Source organism: Homo sapiens, chromosome 1 (genome assembly GCF_000001405.40).
Source record: "Homo sapiens chromosome 1, GRCh38.p14 Primary Assembly".
NCBI classification, from domain to species: Eukaryota; Metazoa; Chordata; class Mammalia; order Primates; family Hominidae; genus Homo; species Homo sapiens.
In genome coordinates, this window is record NC_000001.11 from 215,807,169 (window position 1) to 215,834,210 (window position 27,042).

Sequence of the window (27,042 nt, forward strand, 5' to 3'; positions counted from 1 at the left end):
ATGTGAGCAGCCTCTGCAAGGTGGAAAAGGCAAGAAAATGGATTCTCTCCTCCAGAAGGGAATGCAGCTCTTGTTAACTTCTTAGTTTTAGTTCAATGAGACCCATTTCAAACTTTTGATATTTGGATGTATAAAGTAAGTTTGTGTGGTTTTAAGCCACGAAGTGTCTGGTCATGATTTATAGCAGCAATAGGAAACAAACTGAGCGATATTTAATTTCCCCTATAAGATTCAACTGTTGTGCAATATGTGAATGATCATCTGTCACGTTCTCCAGATAGACTTGAAAAATTGATTCCCTCTATTTGTCAATAGTGGTAGCATACAATCGACATAAAGTCTCTAAATGTCAATTTTGTCAGAACAAAATGCTTTTTCTAGGACCTAAATTCTAGGCTGTGACATTTTGCAAAATGGAAAGTCTTTTTCTCTTCAAAGTTTGGAAGCTCTTCATGACTTTCCCTGGCTAGTTGCTAAAAGTCAACTTAGAGAATTGCTTGGCCTCATAGGATCAACAAGGATCCTTTGTTTCATAGGATCTCAAAGGTCATTAGATGTTTGAATCTTAGCTTTTGGGAACTGGCTATCCCTTTACATGATCTGATGAAAGTGGACACCCCTGAGTCCTTGCTCTGGAAAGATTCATTAGAAACTTTGTCATTTAAAGGAGGCCTGTTAGCCCTCTTTACTCATATGCTCCTCAATTACTAAACATTTTTTTTCTATTTAGATATAAAAGATAGGGTTAGCTTTGAGTATTCTAACTCAGCAGCCCAATGGACATCAGAAACATTAATACCCTGCTAATATTCCTAAAGTTACTTAATGAAGGTCAAACAACTAAGAGGTGAAAGAAATGGGATATGGAGCCAGGCAGTTTGACTCCAGAACCAATATCTTATTCACTAATTATTCAGCATCAAACCACGGAAACACTACACAAAACTTATGCTTTCATAAGAATGTGATCATGTAAAATATTACTTGAAATAGTCATCACTGACTAAGACATTTTTGCTTTCTTTTAAAGATAGGGATGTTCATTGTAATTTTAATGGAAATATATTTGCTATCTTACTGTTCTACTAACATATGAGAAAAATATATTAAGTCACTCATACACAGTCATCACATTATTATAAAACACACCATCTCTAGGAGCTCAACCTAAAATTTAACCATGAAAATTCCTATTTTGACTAGCTGAGTGTCTTGGTCATGTTTCTATGTCCCATTTTTCCTATGTGTAAAATGGAAATAGTGTTTTAAAAATATTTCATTTAAAAATATTATTCAGGACCATTAGTTTTTTTGGGTGCACACTTCCATGAATTTTAATGAAGAAACACCATCAGGATACAAAAGAGTTTCATCACCCCCACAGAACACCCTCACGCTATCCCTGTATAGTCACATTCCCTTCCCATCCATTACCCTTGGCAATTGTCAACTTTTTTCTCCAAAACTATGGTTTGTCTTGTATAGTATGTCATGTAAATGCAGTCTCACAGTTGGTAGCTTTTTGAGACTGGCTTCTTTCACTGGGCTTGATATCTTCTTGGCACTTATCAATACTTTGTTCTTTTTTATTGCTACATAGTATTCCTTTGTTCCACATTTGTCCATTTACTCACTTAGGGACATTTGAATTGTTTCCAGGTTTTGGCAGTAATGATTACAGCTGCTGTAAACCCTCATGTACAGGTTTTTGTGTAAACATAAATTTGCTTTTCTCTAGGGTAAATATCCAGGACCGGATCAAGACATACTCAGGATTTTCTCAAAATATGAATTTCTAGAATTCAGGAGACAGTTGGCTTAGTCAATTATCTTTGAAAGGATCCTATAATATGGTATCTCTAAGAAAAAGGGAACTTAGTAAAAGTTTCCATGATGATGCTACCAGAGACCAATGAAGGAGCAACGAGCTTATTGTAAACAGTAAAGTTACTGTATTTGTTATCTTCCCCTGGGTAAAATAATTCTATTTCGTCTGAAATGTAGTTGCCATATTTTTTGTCTTCACAGTCAAAGAACATAATGTCCCTCTATGGTAAACTTTAAGATAATGTATCCCATGGTACAGGGCAACAACAGTTAATTAAACACCACTCAGGACAATGGTGAGCTTAGAGGAAACATAGTATACACATCTACATGGCGAAAGCCAATACTTTTTTTTAAAGCCTCTTTTGAGCATAATAAATGTTAATTGGTTTAGATATTTTAGCTATGTCTTTCTGAATCCCTCAGAATCTTATTTAGTTACTGACAGAAGAAAAGTCTTCAAAAAAAAAAAGATGTGGATTATATCAATAAAAAATAAAACTATTTTTTTTTCCTCAAAAAGGGGCTATTAGACATAAGATACAAGGATCAGTCACCTTCTCATTAACCTCTCAAAATGAATCTATTTCAGGCCAGGCTTGAAAATGTTTTCTCTCTAAAAACTACCATGCAGTCTAACAGTTAATTGTTATTCTTATCAAAGAATGACCCACATTAACATTTACTTGGGGTTATTAGCATATTTATTAAAAAAGGGAGAGAAATGAGCATTCTTTCCTCTTCTGCTGTTTGTTATGGGGTGTTATGGAAGAAAGTCATGAGAAAAAAAATAAAGTACGTATTTACCAATATTTCAGGCTAATCCATAAATATCAAAATGCCTATACCCATCTTGGCCTTGAACTGGCAGACTAGTGACCAGATTTAAATCACATTTAGATGCAACAGGATTTGGGACCATTGCGCTTTTTTCCCCCTCAGTGTAACCAGTGTTAAACTAGCTAACAAAGACCACGGGGCTGAGGACAGAGGTCACAAAATAATCTCTTCATTTAGGTACAGTGGGATTAATGATTGGAGCAAAACACTCTTTGATTATTTCATGAGATTGCTTTTTTCCTTTTTTCTTGACACCAGGGTATGCATTCTAATGCTATGAAAAATGAACTATTTAAAAAAGAATCAAAATTTGGGGCATGCTCAATGGTTTGGTAGATATTAAAATGCTTTAGGTGTGCAGAAACATGTATTTATACATACAGACAATACATATTTTTTAAATCCTTGGTCTAAAAATTAATTATTAAAGGCTTATATAATATCAATGACAACTTCTGAGCTTCCATGAGTTATTTCATTTTTAAGAAAAATGTTAAATTTTATTTTGAAACCTAACAAAAGTAGATTGTGCTGTCGGTTCAAAATCTGACTACTTATGTTAGCATTGAGAAAGTCACAGGCCAGTCTCCTGAGTTAGCAGCAGTGAAGATGTAACTAAGAATTTTTCATTAGTTTTAAGGGACAGAGGATATTTTGTAGAGTTTGAATAGTTTGTTGCAAATCATAACATAAAAATTTTAATGTGATGTGGAAATGAAAACACTATTACTTAGTTCCATGATCAACTTGGTCTACTGGTGTGAAGAATGGTAGGAATTGAACAACACAAAACGTCCATCTGATCACTGTAATTATAATTTTATAGCAATGATTTGTAATCAAGGGCAGATATGAATCATACATGAAAACTCCCCAAATTTAAGTTACTTCGAGAAAGTAAAGCATTTAACAGTATTTGATCCATTGTTGACATCGTGAGCTGTAGTATGAAGAAGTTTAACAGTTTTCTACAAAATCCTTATTTCCATATATATTTTTACTTTTTCTTAAGTGGAAAATCTGGTTTACTAGAACTTATTCAATTTTGAAATATTTTTGATAGAGAATAAGAAATAACAGCACTGCTATACAAACTTTTTTTTTCTATTAATTATAAGGAAAAATAATGAGTGAAGGTTCTCTGCCTTGAGAAAACTTGAGCAGTATTTAATCAGGACACCTGAAACCACCTTTGCAAAAATTATGACAGTAAGAAAATCCTGACACTGGAAAATTATGACAGTGAAAGAAATGTGACCTAACCAATTCCATCTTGCTTCTAGCCTACAAGCTACCCTGTCCATTCCTGGGCATAGGCCAAGATAACTATGAGAGGTGTTTAGTTTAACTTCGAAACACTGATGATAGTCCTTTCCTGAAACAAACTTGCTCCTTGCTTGGGGGGCAGAGCACCTTTATAAAATTAACAAATTAGCCACAAGGAACTACGGCTTAGGTGTTCATGGCACCAGAGGCCACATGATTCCTAACCTTCCCAACTGCTTCCATAGATAACATCACTATTGTAAAACCTAAGATTGGTGTTCAACGTATTTTTCACACTCTTTATTCTGAGGGACCAGCTATTTTTCACACTCTTTATTCTGAGGGACCAGCTAGTATCACCCAGACCAGTAAACTGGCTCATCTGATCCTATAGTCCCCATCCAGGAACTGACTAAGGACAAGAAGACAGCTCTGACTCCCTATAATTTTATCCCCAACCAATAAGCATTCCTCATTCCCTAGCCCTATGCCTACTGCACTATCCTAAAAAAAACCCTAGGCTGGGCCAGGTGTGGTGTCTCACACCTGTAATCCCAGCACTTTGGGAGGCCAAGGTGGGCAGACATTTGAGGTTGGGAGTTCGAGACCACCCTGACCAACATGGAGAAAGCCTGTCTCTACTGAAAATACAAAATTAGCCGGGTGTGGTGGCACATGCCTGTAATTCCAGCTACTTGGGAGGCTGAGGCAGGAGAATCGCTTGAACCTGGGAGGTGGAGGTTGCAGTGAGCCGGAGATCACGCCATTGCACTCCAGCCTGGGCAACAAGAGCAAAACTCCATCTCAAAACAAACAAACAAATAAAAAAACAAACAAAAAACAAAAACAAACAAAAAACCAACCAAAAAAACCCCTAGGGTTTTTTTTTTTTTTTTTTTTTGAGACAGAGTCTTACTCTGTTGCCCAGGTTGGAGTGCAGTGGCACCATCTCGGCTCACCGCAACCTCTGCCTCCCAGATTCAAGCAATTCTCCTGCTTCAGCCTCCCGAGAAGCTGGGATTACAGGAGCCTGCCACACGCCCAGTTAATTTTTTGTATTTTTTACAAGAGATGGGGTTTAGCCATGTTGGCCAGGCTGGTCTTGATCTCCCGACTTCAGGTGATCCACCCGCCTCAGCCTCCCAAAGTGCTGGGATTACAGGCATGAGCCACCGTGCCCAGACAGACCCTAGGTTTTGAATTTTCTGGGAGACTGTTTTGAGTAAAACCTCCTGTTCTGCTTAGCTGGCTCTGCATTTATTAAGCTCTTTCTCTGTTGCAATACCACTGTTTTGGTAAATTGGCTCTATCTGTGCAATGGGCAAGATGAACCCATCAGGTGATTGCACGCCTTCTATATTTGCTCCAGTATTTTGCAAAACAGACACTGGGTTAGACAGTGTCTCATTTCACATGCCTTGGATGGATATAGTTATACTGAACATAATTTACAGGAACCAGACGTTGGGCATAAATTTCACCCTAAACTAGATATCTCAAAGTATTCAGCTTTCCTATGGCCTCCAAAAAACTTGGCTTTCTTGTCTTTCTCCTATATCCATTTCCTGCTCTTTAAAGAAGATATCAGTATCAAACTTAAGTAGTAGAAAAAAGTTTGTATTCTCAATTACTTTTGTATTCTCAATTACTTTTGCAGGATAAATTGTAACTGACAGTGGTAGTAATGAAGAAGTTTAGAAGTCTTAAATAGTCCTTTTAAAAAAATTGTCAAAAGAGGTTGATGCTTTTTGGTTAAAGAGGCAGTAAAGTACACAAAAGAGCATAGATTTAGGAGAGACATACTTATATTCACATTTTAGTTCTTTCACTTCTATGCACATCTGTGAATCTGGATATGTTATTGATCCTCTCTAAAACAGTTTCCTTACTTGTAAACTGCCTTGTATAATACAAATTTCCTGGAGTTGTGAAGATTCTATAAGGTATCCCATGTAAAGTCTTCAATACAGAGCCTGCGAGAGACTTGGTACTTTAAAAATGGCAGTTATTATTAGCATCATTCCCAATTATATTCACTAGGCATTGTTTTATGTAGTTGAAATTTGGAGCAAAATGGCTAGCTAAGTTGGCTAATACTAAAAAGGGATGAAGGAAAAAATCCAGTTTGCTACCCTTTGCAGCATTCTTCCTTCCCTTGCCTGACTTATGATGAGAGAATATTGCCAGTGGCCTAGAATTCTCAGACAAATGAAATTTGCAGTTGCGATCTATCCAAGAACAATGCATGTGTAGTTCAGATTAGAAATGGAGGAAGTGGGGAACAGCTTCATGGGGTGGAACAGTCAGCAATTCACATATTTAATAGTGAAAATATATAGTCATGTTAATAAAAAAAGCCACAAGATAAAAGGAGTTAGCCAGATCTCCAGATTTATTTCTTTCTGTAGTAGATATTGTAAATTCCTTCTGTTCTCTCGTTTTCTAATATTTAGCCTTGCTTATATTTTAACAAAGCAGAAGGAAGAAACAATATTTAGAGCAGGCCATTGGCTATGTGTTTATGGTTCAATTTTTGTTGAGAGGGAGGTGTTTGAAATAGTTCACTGACATGAACCACGTGTTTATGTTTTCAGGTTCCCATAGTTTTTGAGTACACCTGGAAATAACCCTCACCTGGTAGAATTCTAGCGTAATACCCAGAGCAGCACTGATGATTTGGTTGTGCCTCCTGTATTCGGCCACCACAACAAACTCCAGTAGAATTCAGAACAAACGGGATATACTTTTCTTCACAACAGCGATGTCCAGGCTTGGGGTTATAGAGCACTCCGTTACAACAAACCTGAAAGTTTGAAAACAGTTTTAAAGAAATATCAGTTTAGTTAAGAGTGTTATACCACTGTATCTCATGTAATATAATTATTTTCTTGTAAGGCATAGAAGATCTGAGACCATATTACTCATATTTCGTTGGTTTAAAAATGTATTTTCCAGGATCATTCGAATTTTATAAATGTTATTTGATAGAATGCAGCTTTTTTGAAGTCTTCAACCATGCTTTGTGCTCTATTATAATACTATATAATATAATATGTATTTAATTATATAAAATTTTAATTTTATATCTTTTATTTTATTATATAAAATTTTAATTTTATATAATAAAAGATATAAGATGTATATCTTATATCTTACACATACACATATGTATATATACATAAGATATAGATCTTTTATTATATAAAATTTTATAATAAAAATAGATATATTTAAATATATACATTTTTTATTATATAAAATTTTAATAATGCCTTAAACAAAGTCTTATTGTTGGGATTAAAGAGGCAACACAGGTATTGCAGTGAAAGACAACAGAAGAAGTTAATTAAATTTAAAAAATTGTAAATTTCATTTGGGGCTAGGTATGAATATATATTTTCTAGCATGAAAGATTGGAGAGAAGTAGGAAAGAGACTTTTATTGTAGGTCTAAAGGCGAGTGAGTTCTCACGAGATTTGATGGTTTAAAAGAGTGTGGCAGCTCTCCCCTTCGCTCTCTCTCCCTCCTGCCATCACATGAAGAAGGTCCTTGCTTCCCCTTCACCTTCCGCCATGATTGTAAGTTTCCTGAGGCCTCCCAGTCATGCTTCCTGTTAAGTCTGCAGAACTGTGAGTCAAACCTCTTTTCTTCATAAATTACCCAGTCTCAGGTAATTCTTTATAGCACTGTGAAAACGAACTAAGACACCTGGGAACATGTTTAGAAATGCAAATTTTCACAGCCAAATCTAAACCTACTGAATCAGAATCTCTGGGACTAGAGCTATGAAATCCTAGGTTTTAACAATTCCCCCAGGTCTTACGTTCACTGGGATTTGTGAACCATGGCTGTAATCTTATGGTAAAGCTTGTTTAAGTATTTTGGGAAACATTGATGTTTACAGTGATTTAGCCAAAAAGCTTTTAAACCCGCAATACAAGTCTCTTTTCTACTTCTCTCCAATCTTTCATGCTAGGAAATGTGTATTAGTACCTAGTCCCAAACTGAACTTTACAATTTTTTTTTTGAAATTTAACTGACATCCTTTATTCTCTTTTACCGCAATACCTGTGTTGCCTCTTTAAGCTCAACAATAAAAATAAGACTTTGTTTAAGGCATCATTAAATAGTGTGTCTCGTTTTAGTGTAATAAGGTATGACATTTGCATTATAAGAATAACCAAATGTGATGTTTCTTTTCAAGACTATGTGGTGAGATTTGCACACGCCTGTTTTCTAAAGCCTAACTTTTGCTTCCCTATTCATCAATTTACATTTATTTTCTATAAAAGGTGACCCGTATGATTTTTTTTTTTTTGTAGAGTAGATTTGTCTAAATCATTTTTAAATTGATTTAAAATTAAACTAACCGGTTCTTTGTCATTCACTGAATTTAGGAATGTTACACCAACCAGTCACTTATTTGGTACAAAGCTTCAGTAAATTTTTAAAAGTTACAAAAAGCGGTTTCTGAAATCACAGCATAAAGAAAGGTAGGAGTAATTTTATAAATAATTTAGCCTAAACATAGGTAAATATTATTCTGTTAATACTTTATTAATATTTTTCTTCATCCCATTACTTTTTCTTCACCCTATCTCAGGTATATTCTAATTTAATATGAACATTTTAAGAACATCCACCTTTTGATCTTTTAGAATAAACTTAAATGGAAACATTATCTTTACTAGTTTTACTCTACTTAGCTTTGATTTTGCCACTAAAGTTATAGGGTTGAAACTTATCAAATCCATTATACACACCTAAACTACTATGACAGTTTCTGGCCAGAATCAGTTTTTACTTTGATGGAACACATTGTTTTCTGCACTCCACAAACTTTAAATCATTTATTCGTATGCCTATACAACTATTCTCTCTTTGTCCACTTCGTAACAGATAATAAATATTAAAATAATAGAAGCAAAGAAAAAAATTGAGAAGTGAATTCCGTATTTTGCCAACATTTTCCCAAGTTTTTCTTAAGTGGAGGATATGTTTAATGGGCAAATTTATTTTAGTATTTTTCTTCTCAGAAATCCCAAATTTAATTTTATACAAATATGTTCATCAGATGTGTGTATTTAAATATGTGCATACTTAATGGCATAAAATGATGTCAAATGTAGGCATAATGATAATTTTAGAGTCTAAGTATCAAAAAATGCACAGTTAGTAACTGCTGGCTTTATGCATTTCTTAGATGATAACTCCTGCTAAATTTGTGTCAGCCATAATAATTTGTATTTTGATCCATATTGCTTCAGTAACTCACTTTCTTAATTATGGTGTTCTTTTGCAGTAAATCTTATAAATTTAGTAGTAGCTTTAGCCATTGAATGTGTGATGCTGTTGTTGCCAAATAGGAACATTATTTCATTATATAAAATTCTACCTTCAAACTAAGGATTTTGTGTTGTTTGTCAATAAAAGTCATTTACAAACTCCTCTGTCTGGCTGTATTATTGATCTGATTTCTAAACCGCATCTAATATGAACATTAATCTACAAATGACTATAATGCTAAAATATTTCTGACAAATCATAAAATGTCCTCCTCACAGTTACTCATCAGTGCCATATAAACAAACACCTATTTGTAGCTGAAAAGATCTGTTGTAAAGAAAATTTTAAGTCACTCAATCAAATAAAATTTGGGATGTACCCTATTCTAATAAGTTTATATTTCTTGTGAAGATAATAAAAAATGGGAAGGCTAAAGTGCTCATGAGGGTGATAGTGATTTTTGTAAGCATCCTTTCTTTTCCGTGGAGTCTTCTTCATAGAGTAGTGGAAATATTGATCATAATACATCATGGTGTGAGAAGCTAATAATTTCACTTGGAGTCTTGAGTGAGAAAAACATGGTTCACTGATTAGTTAGAAAAGACTTACCTTAGCTTCAGAAGAATAGCAAATGTGTCCACAGATAGATTCAGGTTTTTGACACCTCACTGCCTTGCAGAGCTCATCACTCTGATCCTGCACTAACTTTTGAGTTTTAGCGCATGGATACCATGTTTTCCATAGGAGATCATATCCAAGAATGATGCCATTTGGCTTCCGTGGAGACACCCAATCAATTTGAAGAGATCTGCAACAGAGAGAATAATCAATACTTCTGAAAAGACACTATTTAACATTGATGCTATCAGTCTTAAGTAAAAAGTGGCAGCAATAGATACTAATATATATATATAATTATATATGTTTATATATGAAATCATATATTTTCAAATCAATCAAAATTATGTTAGCTTTTGGAAGAATAACACATGGCGTGAGGTGGTTTATTACTTTCAGTTTCAAAGACAAGAAGCAAGTGTCACTATGGCTAATCAAGAAAATCAGAGCATTTTGTTTGGTAAGCAAAGATAAGACATACATGACTTGGTAAACAAGGTGACAATTAGAACATGTGGCAACTTAATGCCTACTTCTAACCTGCTTCTCCTTTGCCTTACTTTACCTAGGAGTTGTGATATGAAACATAACTGCTCAGAGATGCCACGGGAACACCATGATGGGACTCCTATGGAGGTTCCTAGGAAATTTTAGCTTTCTTGAAAGAGCTGCCACCTTCTCCTTTTCTCTTTCTTTCCGCTAAACATGATGTCTACAACTTCAGCAATCATCTTTCAGTTATTTGAAAAGGCCAAAACAATCACAAAGATGCCGCCATTATATTTGGCATTGGTTCACCAATGCCAACAACTATCCACAGCGGACTCTTGAACAAAATAAATTTGAACTGTGCAGATCCACTTACATGTAGATTTTCTTCCACCTCTGCCACTTATGAGACAGCAAGGCCAACCTTTCCTCTTTCTTCTCCTACTTAGCTTACTCAATATAATGATAATGAGGATGAATACTTTTATGATGATCCACTTCCACTTAATGAATAGTAAATATATTTTCTCTTCCTTATGATTTTCTTAATGAGATTTTCTTTTCTTTAGCTTACTTATGGTAAGAATATAGTATAAATATATATGCAAACTATGTTTTAATCAGTTTTTTATGTTATCATTAAGGCTTCTGGTCAACAGTAGGCTATTAGTAGTTAAATTTTGGGACAGTCAAAAGTTATATGCAGATTTTCGACTGGGTGGGGATCAGCAGTCCTAACCCTTGCATTGTTCAAGAGTCAACTATATATCTAGAGCTATTTACTTAAGTCTCTTTTGTCAGGTGTTTTGTTACTTGCAGTCAAAATAAATGCCCAAATTGAGAAATTTTATAGTCACTAACTTATTTAAAACATACTTTGCTTAATTTTTTGACTCATCTAAATAGATTCTTTTTTTTTTCAATAACTCTTTAACTAGCATGGTCTGAAATGATTTTTGGTGAAAAATATAGAACTTAAAGATTCCCGTAAGAAATATGTTTACATTGTCATGTTCTTAAAGAAAATGTTTGATTTTAAAAAATTGAGTGATAATTTCAATTTAAACCCAAGTAGAAAGTTTTTATGAGAGGCAGGGTTTGGTATACAATGAAGGTATAACATCTGATCAAAACTTTACTGCATTTTCAATGATCTATTAATATTTCATTTGCTGTAGCAAATGAGGTCATAACATAAAGCTGTTCACAGAGGAGACAACCCTGAATAAAATGATTTAGTCTCAGGTTAATGTTACAGAACTTAAATTCTGCACTTAGGTCTACTTGCCAGAAAAATACTGCCTAGACCACACATCTATGCTATCTTTAGTATTTGCTTAATAATCTCTATAAGAAGACAGTAGTTAAAGTTTTTAATAAAGCCCCAGAGATTTGAACATGACATATTCTTGCAGTGTAGCACAGCAAAGAAAACCTCCTTTTTGTGAAACACAAGGTAAATATAAAAATTATAATGATTTTTTTGTTCTCATTGTTTTTAAAAAAATAGGTGAAGCTCTGACATTCAAGATTAGTTCTTTTTTATGATTCTAGAATTTCTAGCCATAAAAATTAACTAATCACAAATATGTGTAGCGTACATTTTACATATAAAGCATTAGCATTCCCATATATACTTTGGAATAAAGCAAGCACATAAGAACCTTGTCCTTCTATTTCAAAAGTTAAGCAATAAAAATCTCACAACTTATGTTGGATGCTTTTTTGCTATCGTGTAAAATAACATTTCAACTATCCCTTTCATTTTAAGGTAAAATATGTCTTTGCAGGCCAAATTACTGGACCCTATCAGAATTCCAAGTGACATCACATATTAGGAATTCAATGAAGCCCAAATATTTATGTTAAAAAGCGGCAGTCAAGATAAACCTCAACATTTTCATAGACTGCTAAAAAAAGAAAACTATTATTTCAGTTTTGTGGGGGTACAAACATAACACATTCAGTAATAAAACTCTGTAGATAGGAAATTAATGTCACCTATGAGAGAACAGTTTCATAGATGACTTGTACAGCCACAGCTATTATTCTGAAGTTTTTATCAAACTTTCAAAATTAATTCCACATTCTGCAGATACCTTTTGTATTCTCTGCATAATCAACTACAGAAAAGATTACATTTAAGTGACATTCAAGAGTTTGACTTATCCACAAAAGCTCGTGAACTAGTAAAGTCTAGAAAATACCACGTAGAGCACGTTCCATGCCATTATAACTTCCCTTTCTTGTGCAACATAACTGTTAAGTGAGACCGCCTATATTTTCGGCAAGAACATGAACAGTTTGCTTTTGAGGATTTAATCAAGTACACGAAGGAAAATGATTAAGAAGAGTATTGGGTTTAACATCTGTACATCTCTCATTAGAGCCAACTGGAGAGACAATTGAAACTCCTTTGGTTGCTGATCTGAAAATGAAAGGCATCTTTGAGAAATATGCATCATTATTAGCGGGATTAATAGTTTCATTGCTTTGATGTTTAAGAGTAAAATAGAAGGAACATTCTTCAATCCCAGGAATAAATGTTAAATATTGGAGAAAAAGAGCTGAAGATACTTTTGGGCACTCATGCATAAACATAAACAGATTGCAAATATTTGAATGAATTTTTTTTGGTAGATTTGTTCATGAAATAACTGTTATAGTTTTTTTTAGATTTTAAAGTAATAGGAACTGAAATTTAAGATACCTTAATACAACTTCTGATAAAAGTCACCATGTCTACACACATTTTTTTCTCTCTCAAATGTTTGGGTTACATTTTCTCATTCCTTCACACACACACACAGCCCACATACACACAACATTGTGGATTATACTTTGCAAAGTCTCTAGGTTGAATTGTTTTCCTCTGAAAGTAACAGGCTTTACTAGCAGTCAGTTAAATTACAGGTGGATTACAATCTTGGGGAAGCCTGGAGTTTAAAAAAATATATTTTAATCAATACATAATAGATGTACATATTTCAGGGTCCATGTGAGAATTTAATACATTCATATAATTTGTAAAGAGCAAATCAATGTAACTGGCATATCCATCACCTTAAATAGTTGTCTTTTCTTTATGCTAACAACATTTAAATTATTCCCTTCTACCTATTGTGAAATATGTAAAAGATATTGTAAACTATAAATCACCTTACTGATCTATCAAATACTAGGTCTTATCTCTTCATTGAAACTGTAAATTTATATCCATTAATCAATCTATTCTTCCTCTCCCTCTCCCCATGACCCTCTCAGGCCTCTGGTAATCACCAATCTACTCTCTACCTTCATGAGGTTCACTTTTTTATCTCCCACATATGAAAGAGAACATGCAATGTTTGTCTTTCTATGCCTGACTTATTTTACTTAACATAATGACCTCCAGTTCCATCCATGTTGCTGTAAATAATAGGAGTTAAGTCTTTTTTATGGCTGAATAAGAGTCCATTGTGTATATGTACCACATTTTCTTTATCCATTCATTCATGATGGGCACTTAGGTTGATTTCATATTTTGGCTACTGTGAACAGCACTGCAATAAACATGGGAGTACAGGTGTCTTTTCAATATATTGTTTTCCTTTCTTTTGGATATACACCCAGTAGTGAATTGCTACATTATACAGTAGTTCAATTTTTAGTTTCATGAGGAACCCCCATACAATATTCTATAGTGGCTGTACAAATTTACATTCCCACCAACAGTGTAAATAGAGTTCCCCTTTCTCCACATCTTCACCAGCATCCATTATTTCCTGCTTTTTTATTTTATCAAAGCCATTTTATCTGGGTGACATAATATTTCATTATGGTTTTGAGTTGCAATTCTCATCTCTTTAGTGATGATGAACATTTTTTCATATACCTGTTGGCCATTTGTATGTCTTCTGAATAGGCAATAGGCAATATAAATGCCTATTCAGATCATTTTCCCATTTTTAATCAGATGTTTTGTTTTTGTTTTTTGCTTTTGAGTTGTTTAAGCTATTTATATATCCCAGTTATTAATTCATTGTCAGATAGACAGTTTGCAAGTATTTTCTCCCATTCTATGGCATGTCTATTCACTTTGTTGATTGTTTCCTTTGTTGTGCAGAAGCTTTTTAGCCTGATGTAATCCCATTTTTCTGTTTTTGCTTCTCTTGCCAGTGTTTTTGAGATCTTACACAAATGCCTTTGCCTAGATCATGTCTGGGAGCATCTCCCCAATGCTTTCTTCTATTGGTTTTACAGTTTCAGGTCTCAGACTTAAGTATTTAATCCATTTTGAGTTGATTCTTGAATGCGGTAAGAGATAGGGGTCTATCTCTTCTGTCTCTTCTATCATTCTTCTGCATATGGATATCTAGTTTTCCCAGTGCCATTTATTAAAAAGACTGTTTCCTCATTGCAAGTTCTTGGTTCCTTTGTTAAAAATGAGTTGTCTGTAAATGCATGGATTTATATCTGGGTTCTCTATTCTATTCCATTGGTTTATGTGTTTGTTTTTATGCCAATACCATGTTGATTTGGTTTCTTTAGGTTTGTGCTATATTTTGAAGTAAGGTAGTGTAATGCCTCCAGCTTTGTCTTTTTTTTACTCAGATTGCTTCAGCTATTCTGGGTGTTTTGTGGTTCCATATAAATTTTAGAAATACTTTTCTATTTCTGTGAAGAATGTAATTGGTCTTTTGATATGTATTACATTGAATCTGTAAATTACTTTGGGTAAAATTGTCATTTTAATAATATTAATTCTTCTAATCCAAGAGCATGGAATATCTTTCCATTTATTTGTATCTTACTCAATTTCTTTCATCAGCATTTTATAGTTTTACTTGTATAGATATTTTACTCCTTTAGTTAAATTGATTCCTAGGTATTTTATATTCTTTGTAGCTATTGTTAATGGGACCACTTTCTTGATTTCTTTTCAGATTGCTTGCTGTTGGTGTATATAACTGCTATTGATTTCTGTACATTGAGTTTGTATTCTGCAACTTTACTAAATTTGTTCATCAGTTCTAACAGGTTTTTTGGTGGAGTCTTTAGGTTTTCTAATTATAAGAGCATGTCATCTGTTAACAAGGCTAATTTGACTTATCCCTTTCCGATTTGGATGCCCTTTATTTCTTCTCTTGACAAATTGCCTCACCAGGATTTCCAGTATTGTGTTGAATAAAAGTGTAAGTGGGTATCCTTGTCTTGTTCCAGTTCTTCCAGGAAAGACTTTCATTTTTTCCCAGTTCAGTACAATGTTAGCCATAGGTTTGTCATACATGGCTTTTATTTTGATGTATGCACCTTCTATATCCAGTTTCTTGAGGGACTTTATAATAAAGCCATATTGAATTTTATCAAATGCTTTTTCAGCATCTATTGAAATGATCATATGGTTATTGTACTTGGTTGCCAAAAACAAAGAAACAATGAAAAAACTCTAAAATTTAACTGTATTTCTCCATATTTTGACTTTATGTCGTCTCAATTTGTATATTTTTATGTTGTCTATCTCTTAACACGTTGCTGTACCTACTATTGTTTTTGATAAATTTGTCTTTTGGGCTTCATACTGAAGTGATGAGTGGATTGCATGCTGCAATTACAGTATTAGAGTATTCTGGGTTTGTCTGTGTACTTAATTTATCAGTGGGTTTACTTTCAAATGTTTTCTTTCTGTGCATTAGTTTTTTATGTCTTGCAGTTTGAAGAACTCTCTTTAGTATTTCTTATAAGATGGGTCTCATAGTGGTAAATTACTTCAGCTTTTTATCTGGGAAGGACTTCATTTCTCTTTCATATTTGAAGGATAGCTTTATTGTATGCAGTACTTTTATATGGCATTTGTTTTTTTATTTCAGCACTTTGAAAATGTCATCCCACTTCCTCCTAGCTTGTATGGTTTCTGTTGAGTAGACTGTTGCCAAACAAACTGAAGCTTTTAAATATGTTATTTGCTTCTTTTCTCTTGCTGCTTTTAGGATCCTCTCTTTGTCACTGACCTTTAAGAATTTGATTGTTATATGCCTTGGAATAATCTTATTTTAATCAAATCTGGTCTTCTCTGACCTTTCTATATCTGGATATTTCTCTGTTTCTTACATTTTACAAAGTTTTCTGTTAATCTTTCTTTTAAAAAGCTTTCTACCTCTTGCTCTTGTTTACCTTCCTCTTGAACACCAATAATTCCTAGATTTTGTCTTTTCAGGTAGTTTTCTATATACCTTGTAGGTGATCTTCACTTGTTTTCATTCTTTTATCCCCACCTCTCTGTATTTTCAAATAGCCTGTCTCAAGTTTGTTGATGCTTTCCTCTGATCTAGTTTGCTATTGAGAGCCTCTAATGAATTTTTCACTTCAGCAGATGTATTTCTCAGATCCAAGATTTCTTTTTTAATTTCTTGAACCATTTTAATCTCTTTGTTAAATCTGTTGAGAAATGTCTGAATTTATCTTATGTACTATCTTGGTGATCATGAGTTTCCTTAAAACTGTTTGAATTCTTGGTCATAGAGTTCACCTATCACCATCTTGTTAGGGTCACTCACTGTTTCCTTGCTTTTGTCAGCTTGAGAAGATCCTACTTCCCTGTTTAAAGAAGTTGTATGTCTGCAAACACACCACCGTCCTGCATATTATCAAGGATATGTATCTTTGAATTATTTTTAATTCCCTGAATTTATTAAACAGCAACTTTAGTATATTTTCTTTTGGAGCATCCTCTCATATATTACTCTTCTCTCCATTTCTTATGGATATATGTCTATGTCTTTGCATTGAAGGATTAGTTATTTATTGCAGTCTTCTCTGGCTTGCTTTGGTTTTTCTTAGGTATGTTTGCATAGAGATTCTTTGTAATTTTTCTGTTCATTTTCTTTCATTTTTTTTAATTCACTGGGTCACTGCCTCCTTTTTGGCACTAGATGGTGCCTCAGGTCCAGGTTTGCCTTGTCTCCAGTAAACTATCAGAATACCACCTTTCCCAAATAGGGGAGGTTCCAAAGGGGATATCCTGGTAGTGTGAGGAGGCTGGCTGAGGATTGGTGCCCAGGAAACCTGTGGAGCAAAACTACTACAGTGTGGTGCTGCTGAACAGCCACTCTGATTTGGCATCTCCTTTTACTGAGTTACAGAGCAGAATTTCCAGGGCTGGTGATGGTAGTCCCATCTCCCCACATTGTCTCTGGATGTCCTCACAGAGATAGAGCCCTTCGGGCACTCCTGATGCTTCCTGTGGGTTGAGGCAGGTAAAGGTCTCCTGCCAGGTAACCTAAGACGGTCGGGAAACTGTCCACTTCAATCGCACTTTTCCAGTGCAGAAATCAAGGGTCAGGAAAATATTTTCCACAAGCGTGGTGCTGAATATATTGGGGAGATGGGCATTGTGGATATGAAAGTCCAATTTTCTTACCATCTGCTCGGAGATTTTCACTTCTCTGTGACTTTGGGAACTGTCTTGTCCTCATATTTGAGTTCTGGGATATTGCTGTGATAATCTCAGTTCTGTACATTTGTTTCTGTTTTCTGTGGAGAGGAGTGAAGCCAGCTTGCTTCTATGTCATCATTTTGGAACTGGAAGTTCTTTACACATATTTTGGTACATGAATTCATCAAGTGTTCAGACATTCTAGTTGTAGTTATTTCTTTTTAATTATGTCATATTGTCAGCAGAATTACTATTTTATTACTGTTACTACTACATACTATTGTGCCACCCCCACAGTTGTCATCACTTTCTTCTTTATTTATTTTTAGAGATGGGATCTTGCTATGTTGCTCAGGCTGGACTCAAATCCTGGCCTCAAGCAATTCTGACTCAGCCTCCCAACTAGTTAGGATTACAGATGCATTTCACCCTCCCCAGATCTCATCACTTCCAGTTGTCCCTTGAAGTACAAAATACCATTGAAGATACAAAGGAGTGTAGGGAAAATAATTTGATATCACTTACCTTTACACAGGTGAATATCAAAATGATACAAGTCAGATCAAATTTTTATGAAGACAGGTTCACATTACTATTCTTTAACATTTCATTCTAATATTTTTCCCCAATTTTTTCAAAACATTTTTGTTTGACCAGAGAAAAGAAATCTTCATACACTCTAAGATATTAACCTAAATTGTTATGGATTAAATAGCTCTAGATTATCTGGTTATGTTTACACAGGCTTTTTTTCTAATCGATTTGGTCATTTTTGTCAATCATTTATGTAACACTCAAGTTCTTCAATATTATTCCAGATCATGGTTATCAAAAATGATCAGAACACTTTTAACAAAGATGAAATAAATGTAATATGACAAATTTAATTCTTTGCTTTCAAGTCAAGTCACTGAATATTTAATTATCCTACTGAGATGTTTATTATAAATTGTAGTAGGTAAAAAGTCAAAATGCAAAACCCATGTTCTTTTAATAAAAAGGAACACACATTTCCCTCCTTTTGTCCTTGGAGGAAAATGTGGTGAAGAGATCTTGGGACAGCTTGACAGGGAACTCTTAAATTTGGCAGTCTGTATGAGCATAGGAAATAAAGCTTACTTCTCAGTTAGAGAATTCTAGTGGCCAGAGATTGGCCAGAGCAGTTCTGCAATGAAAGGTTAAGCCTAGAATACCACAATATTGATCTATAGCATGGCATAGATGGATGAGTTTCTCAAGAGCCAAGTGGATGCCTTGCAAGATGGCTAGGTTTGAGCTAACTTGAAGGTACATGGCCCAGGACAGTGGCCTTCTGGCATGAGGAGACTCCAGCAGGAAGAGTCTTTGGAATGTTCTGCTCTTTTGGCACCACAAGTGATCAGCTATAAAGGGCAACACTCGTGTGAGGGAATTTGGCTATTCAAAGATTCTCATGAGGACCTCTCAAGAAAAACATACAATTGCCCAAGAAAGCATCACTTGCCAATGGAGAGCTGTGATTGTCAAACAGTGATGGCAGTGAAGTAATAAAATTGAAAGGGAACATATTTGGATAAAATGGAATAGGAAAGAAAGAGTAAGAGGGAAGAAAAGAGCAAGCTACAATTAGGCCTGAGCTTTAGAAATGATAGAATCTTTGAACTAGATGCGAGGCTAATATTTTGATGGTGATGGAATGGACTTTTTAATACTTGATCATGAATCTTAATTATCAAAGTGAGACTCATAACTAAAAATAATTGGAAACCCATAAGATGTTCCTGTGGGGTATTTGAGAATTGAGGGAAGGATAGCCAAAACAGTGTGTTTAAGGCAGTAAGTAGCAGGTGAAAAGTAAAGGATTTTTTTTTCTCTTTGTATCTAATTGGATTAAGACAGCTCCATAAAATGGTTATATAAACTTAAACGATGAAAACATGAACCAGGGTGGTAGTGGTGGAAATGGAGAAGAGTAACATATATGAGAAGATGCTCCAACAGAAAATGTACTAAAATCAGTGTTTAATAAACTTAGGGGATTAAAAATACTTCAAAGATATATGTCCTCGATAATATGCAGGATGGTGGTACATTTGCAGAAGTGAGTGTTGGAAAAGATGATGAGTTAGATAAGAATTAACTTGTGAATCTCATGGTTATGGAAGTGATGGGTGAATATCATGACATAAAATCAATAGGCAAGTGGGTATGTGGGATTAGAGTTTAGGAAGAAAACAGGGCCAGAGATCTTTGAGACATCAGTATGGCTTAAAATTGCAAGACTGAACTACCTGAGCAAGGTAGGGAGTCTTTTTCCTGAGGACACCCAGAATGCATAAGTGGGTTTTTAATGGAACCAATAAAAACAAAACAAAACAATGAATGTTTAGAGAACCAGGGACAAAGTGGCAGTTGAGGGCTAAAGTGAATTAGGAGGAAGAACTGGATTTTGCTGAAAGGCACTCAAAGGCTACTTCAGCGACCGAGCTGTTTCTATGGGAGCTACAAGAGGTAAAGAAGTTAGGAGGAGTTTGGGAAGAAGAGGGAGGTAAGGAAATGAAAATAGTGATAGCAGAGCCATAATAATAAGCCCAATATTCTCTTTTCTATATATTCTGTCTTTCTGTTTACATTCTATATTCTGACACTATTCTATTAAGGTCTCCTTAAACAGAATGTGATAATCAGAACTCATGGCCATCAAATGAGTAATATTTCCTAAAAGCCATGGTGACCATAAGGCTATTGATTGGATCTGTACGAATTGCACTTAGTGTAGTCCAAATTCTCTCTTTCAAGGTTCTACCCATATCCTTTAAAGGTTTAAGCAGACAGTTTTAGTCCATATTAAAAATAGTCTACAATTGCCCATATTGGTAAGCAAGTTTGGTATACAGGTGAAAACAAGTGATTTGACATTCTGTATCCTTCAGCCCAACACTCTCCCTATTAAAGCAAACAAACAGAAATGTGGCCTTAATTTTTTCTTGTAATGTTAAATAATTAAATTAAATGTAAAATATTAATTTTTTCTTTTAATTTTACAAAACTGTAAAATCATTACTTCAGTTGAAGCTATCATTCACTGAGAAAAGTTAGGCAGAAAAAATCAAGGATAGAAGAGATTCCCTGATATCTAATGTCATAGCATAAAAAGTATATCATAGCATGTCTCATAAAATTTGGTGAGGAAAAAAGGAGAATCCTCTTTCTCCACAAGCTCTGACCTCTTGAACCATACTTAACCCCACATTAAGTAATTTAAAAATATAGGGGGATGCCGGGTGCTGTGTGGGTCACATCTGTAATACCAGCAATTTAGGAGGCCAAGGCGGGAGGATGACTTGAGCCCAGGAGTTCGAAAGACCAGCCTGGGCGACACAGTGAGACCCCAACTCTACAAAATAATTTTAAAAATGTATTAGCTGGGTGTGGTGGCATATGCCTATTGTCCCAGCTACTCAGGAGGCTGAGGAAGTATTGCTTGAGCCTGGAAGGTCAAGGCTGCAGTGAGCTGCACTCCAGCTTGGGTGACAGAACGAGATCCTGTCTCAACAACAACAACAAAAAAGAAAAAAATATATAGATATTCATTAATAACGATAGTGGTTTAGCATTCATTTAGAGACATCTAACCTATGCTGTTATCAGAAAGATTTCTGCAAAGTTTGTGTATAAGAATATCATTGATCTCATTCAGCATCTAGAAGCAAATCTTAAAACAATTATTTGTGAGTGCTACGAAGACTTTATACCTCACACTCCTTATCAATAACACATCCCCAAACTGATTTGGATGTGAAAAAACTGCCATGGTTCCAATTAAAGACATTAAAAGACATGATCTGAGTTCTTTCTCTACTTTCCCTTGAGCCTCATGCCTGGAAATGATGCATTTTGGAATACTAACAGTAATGTAATAAAACATCTTTCTTGTTTGTGTTATTTTCTTAGTGTCTCCATTTATGGGGAATAAATAACTAAACTTCATAGCACAGTACCTAGTGAAGCTGTCAGCTGCAGTGTTTGTCATATTTCTATCAAAGCCAGACCCAGCCCGTTATCTTCATCCAGGTCAGTCTCTACATTCTCGAGGACCAGAATTAATGAATTAGCTATTGATTAAATTCCACTCTAGCAAATCCACCAAGACAAATAAATGAACTACCCAGGGCACATGTAGGCCATGGCCAGACATGTCCGGGTTATCGATCAGTAGTTAGTATTCTTTTGGGATATAGAAGGAGCTGATGATAATATGAGAAGTATGGAAAATGCAATGTAGAAACAGGGCTTGTCTCTGAAGCAGCAGCTTATAAAACTAGAAGGGTCCATTTGATTCTTCTATATTATTTGTGTGCTATGGAATCTTTGGTTTATATATAAGAGGAAAAACATGCATAAGGGCTTGTACTGCTGAAGATGTAGTCAAAAACAAGGCATAAGTTAAGGCCAAAGACAAAGATGAGTTGGTACACTGCACGCATATAATCAAACAGGCTGGTATGCTATCTGTATGTTATTGAAATATATGAGTTAAATTTTACTGACTTCTGAATTTCACCAAAAATAAACAAAGAATCTAAGAAATGTATGGCTTCTTAGAAACCAAATTATTTTAAATGCTAGAGAAGTAGACCCCGTCTGCTGATGTTTTTCTGGAAGGATTTCACATTTCATTTTGCATGTTGCTAATATGAAAGATTTTTTAAAACCAAAATAGAAACATAACTAACAAGTATACATTGCCAGAAGTATAATGAAATTACACAAACAATACCATACACACACAAGGCTAACTGCTTTGGTGTTGGTATAATTTTGATTAATGGCTTGGCAGCCTATAGTTGCTCATTAGAGTCTTGCCTTTGGAAAATGTTACTCTGCTACTATGGATCATTTTAAGAAAGGAAAGATTTTACATGCCAATATTTGGTTATGAATGATTTCTATCAAGTTTTTGCTAGGCTTCTGACTGGGGGGGAAAAGGAAAGTTGCCAAAGGCATTGGAAGAAAGAAAACTGTGGTGGAGGGGGACTTCCCATGCAGGCCAATATGGAATAAGCCCATTACAGCTTATCTCTCCCACTGATTACAACTCAGTATCTGCAAAAATTATATAAAGTAACTACCTGAGGACTCTGAAAAGCTAACAATAAGGCTGATCAGGAGGGGAGACAAAACTTTAAGAATGAATGTTACAGGGTGAGTTTCCCATTTTTTTTCCCCCTCCTTTACTTCCCATCTTTAACCCAAGGGCAGTATCAGTGTGAAACTGTGAACTAGGGAAGCAAAATCCTAGAGAAAGTAAATTTTTTCCGGCTAGAGTATCTAGAACAAAATGCCTTGCAAGCCAGAGAGTATAGGGAAAACCCCCATTTTTGTTTTGTTTTGTCTTCTTTCTGCTGGGCCCTGCTCCGAGGATGATCAGAGCCAAGGAGCTGCACTGCGGCAGCTGTGGCCAAATTGGAATCTAAAGCCCCAACGGGGGGAAAAATCTTTCTGTCCAGAGAAATCAGGAAATGGGGCCTCTATAGTCCAAAGAATGTGGGGGAAGTCCTTGTTATTTTTTTTTCTCGAATTCCTCTTACCTCATTGCCTAAGAACAACTCCAGTTATGCAAATTTGGAGGCAGGCTGGGAGGCAAACATTTCAAAAGAAATCATATCATTCTAGCCAAAAATCCAGGGAAGGAAGTCCAAAGGAGCTGGAAAGATGGGGGACATTTCAGAGAGAAGAAAGCTAGAAGCTAATTTTATGAATGAACGAACGCAAGTCCTGACTCAACTCCAAGCTGCACATTTATGGTTGCCTCACATGCATAGCCTATGCAAGCAGCACAGCGAAGATTTTGAGATCAGAACTATTACATAATTCTACAGCCAAATCCCAAATTAGCCATTGTGCAGACACAGAGTAGTAAAGCAAAGTTTATAGCTTTGTTATGCTACTTTATGAAAAAATAGGAACTGACTGTAGTCACTGGCAAAGGAAAACAGAATTTGGAGTCTGAAGCTAACCAGTTGGTAACCTGCTGAAAAAAGTAAATAAGAACTCTAACTTTCTTCAAAGGATTTTAACAGGAGTCAGATTTTTATAACGTAATATTCAAAATGTGAAGGAATCAATCGAAAAATCACCCAGAATTACACTAAGCAATTGAAAGCTGGAGTGGCTATATTAATATTAGACAAAATAAACTTAAGAACAAGGAAATTATCAGGAAGTAAAAGGGCTTATCACATAATGATACAAGAGCCAGTTTATCAAGACATTAACAATCCTAAACATGTATGCACTTAATAATAAAACATCAAAGTACATGAAGGAAAGACTAATAGATCTGAAGAAGAAATAGATAAAGCCACAATGACATTTGGAGACTTCAACACCATTCTCACAATAACTGATAAAACAAGCAGGCAGAAAATCAGTAAGTATATAGATGATCTGAACACCATTATCACTCAACTTGATCTAATTGACATTTACAAAACACTCTATCTGACAACAACAGACTGTACCTTCTCCTCAAGTGCACATCCATTCACTAAGATAGATCATATTCTGGGCCCTGAAAAAACTGTAACTAATTTAAAAGAATTGGAATTCTAAAATTATGTTCTTAGATCATAATAGAATTAAACTGGAAACTCAGATAGAAACTTATCTGAAAAATCCCCAAATACTTGGAAATTAAACAATACCCTTGTAAATAATCCATGGGTTAAAGAAGTCTCAAGAGAAATTAAAATATATTTTGAATAAATGAAGTGCAATGCAACATTTCAAAATTTGTGAGCTTCATACCGAAGCAGGACTGAGAGAAAAGAAGAAAGGTCTCAAATCAATAATGAAAGTTTTCATCTTTAAGAAACTAGAGAAGCAATAGCAAGGCAAGAGGGAAGAAAACAATAGAGAGCAGAAATCACTGAAATGGAAAATAGAAAACAATGTAGATGATATAGAAAATAAATAAAGCCAAAAATGGTTCTTTGAAAAGATCTACAAAATTGATAAAACTCTAGGCTGAACAGAAAAACGGGGGCACTTACTACCAATATCAGAAATGAAAGAATAAAATCAATTGCAACAAATTGTTGTTTGTAGTACAAACATACTACAAACAACTTCCTGCTAATAAATTTGACAAATTTGATTAAATTAACCTATTTTCTGCACCCACAAGATGACTAAACTCACTGGAGAATAAATTGCCAAATATCATACATTATTAAGGGAATTGAATTCCAAGTTAAAAAACCTTCCATCAAAGAAAAACTCCAGGCAAATATGGGTTTCACTGGTGAATTTTACCAAGATTTAAGAAATAATAACACTTTTGTACAATCTCTTCCACAAAATAGAAAAGAAGGAAATGCTTCCCAAGTTAGTATGAGACCAGAAATTACCATGATACCCAATCCAGGCAAAGGTATTACAAGAAAATCAAACACAGTCCAATATATTTTATGAACACAGATGAACATTTTCTATAAGATAATAGTATATTGCATCCCCCAATATATGAAGAAGAAAATATGTCACAACGAAGTTCTGGTTATCCAGCGAATACAAACTAGTTCAATAATTTAAAATCAGTAAATATAATCGATCATAGTACAAATTTAAAATGTCAAAAAAGCATGTGACAAATTTCCATGTCCATTTATAATGAAAATTGTCAGCAAATTAAAAATAAAAAGTAAGTTCTTCAACGTGATAAAAGGCATGGCCAAAAATTTCATACGTAACATCACATCTAAGGGTAAAAGACTGAAAGTTTTCTTTCAAAGATTGGGAACAAGTCAAGGATATGCTCTTATCACGTTATTAAACTATCCAGTGCAATAAGGCAGGAAAAAGAAATAAAAGACATACTGATTGGAAATGAAAAAAATAAACAGTTTCTCTTTGTAGAAGATCTATATAGACTAGGGAATTACAAAAAAGCTCTTAAGACTTACAAGGAGTTTAGCAAGTTTGCTGGATGTAAGCTCACTATTCCAAAATTAATTGTGTTTCTACACACTAGCAACAATTGGATTTGAATTTGTTTTAAAGAAACAATAATAATAGCACCCCCCAAATAAGTAATTAGGTATAAACTTAATAAAATATGTGCAGTATTTGCATACTGGATTATATAAAACACTGATAAAATAAAGGAAAGAAGATGCAAATAAATGAGCAAGAGTGTGTTCTTGAATCAGAACATTTGATATTGTTAAGATGTCAATTCTCTACCAATTGATCCACAAATTCAATGCAGTTCTAATCAAAATCACATGTTTTGTAGATATCAATGACCTGTTTCTGAAATTTATATGGACAGGCAAAGTAGTGAGAAAGGCCAAAATGATTTTTATAAAGGTCAAAGTTGGAGGACTCATACAATGTGATTTGACAGCTTACTATAGAGCTGTAGTAATCAAGATTGTGCGATATTGGTATAGATATACATATTGATAAATTGAACATAAAAGAGAGTCCAAAAATGGCCTACAAAACGTGTTTAAATTGATTTTTGACAAAAATCTAAAAATATTCAATAAAGAAAAGATAATCTTTCCAAAAATTTTGTTGATACTATTAAATACTTACATGCCAAAAAAAATTAACCTTGACTCATGCCTCAGTGTATACAAAAATTAACACAAAACCAATCATAGACATAAATTCAACATGTAAACATACAAATGTTCTAGGAAATAGACAAGAGAAAGTCTCTGTGACCTTAACTCAGGCAAAAAGTTCTTAGATAAAATACCAGATGCACAAACTGTCAAGGAAAAAGTAACAAATCTAACTCTCTTGGAAAGTTAAAACTCTTTCTCTTAAAAACACACAAATAAGATAATTGAAAACAAATCATAAGGTAGAGAAGAAATATCTGTAAATCACATATGTGACAAAAACTCAAATCCAAAATATATTTAAAAAATTTTCAAAACTCAAAAAATAAGAAAACAAAGAATCTAATTAAGAAATTTGCAAAAGATTTGGAGATACCATTTCCCAGAGTAAACAAATGCCAAAGTGCATGCAAAAAGCAATTGCAAAGCTTATCAGTATCATTAGTCATTAGGGAAAATGTAATTTAAGACCATAATAACACACCACAAACATCTATTAAAATGACTATTTAAAAAATAAGAGGAAAACACCTCATAGTATCTCATGTTCTAGCAAAAATGTAGAGCAACTTGAACTCTCATACAATGCTAGTAGGAATGAAAGATGTTACAGTCACTTTGTAAATCAGTCTGGCAGTTTATGACTCAGCAATCCAACTCCTGGGTATTTACCCACATGAAATGAAA

The 27,042-nt window shown here is 34.4% G+C and overlaps 1 protein-coding gene across 1 annotated transcript in view; it reads right to left on the bottom strand.

Moving 5' to 3' along the window:
• Nucleotides 1-27,042, bottom strand: part of USH2A (usherin) — an 800,558-nt gene that overhangs the window by 184,278 nt on the left and 589,238 nt on the right. Inside the window, exons 48-49 of the mRNA NM_206933.4 lie at nt 9,829-10,027; nt 6,568-6,736 (exon numbers count right to left, since the gene is read on the bottom strand). Coding sequence (NP_996816.3) covers nt 6,568-6,736; nt 9,829-10,027 — 368 coding nt within the window. The remainder of the gene's footprint in view (nt 1-6,567; nt 6,737-9,828; nt 10,028-27,042) is intronic.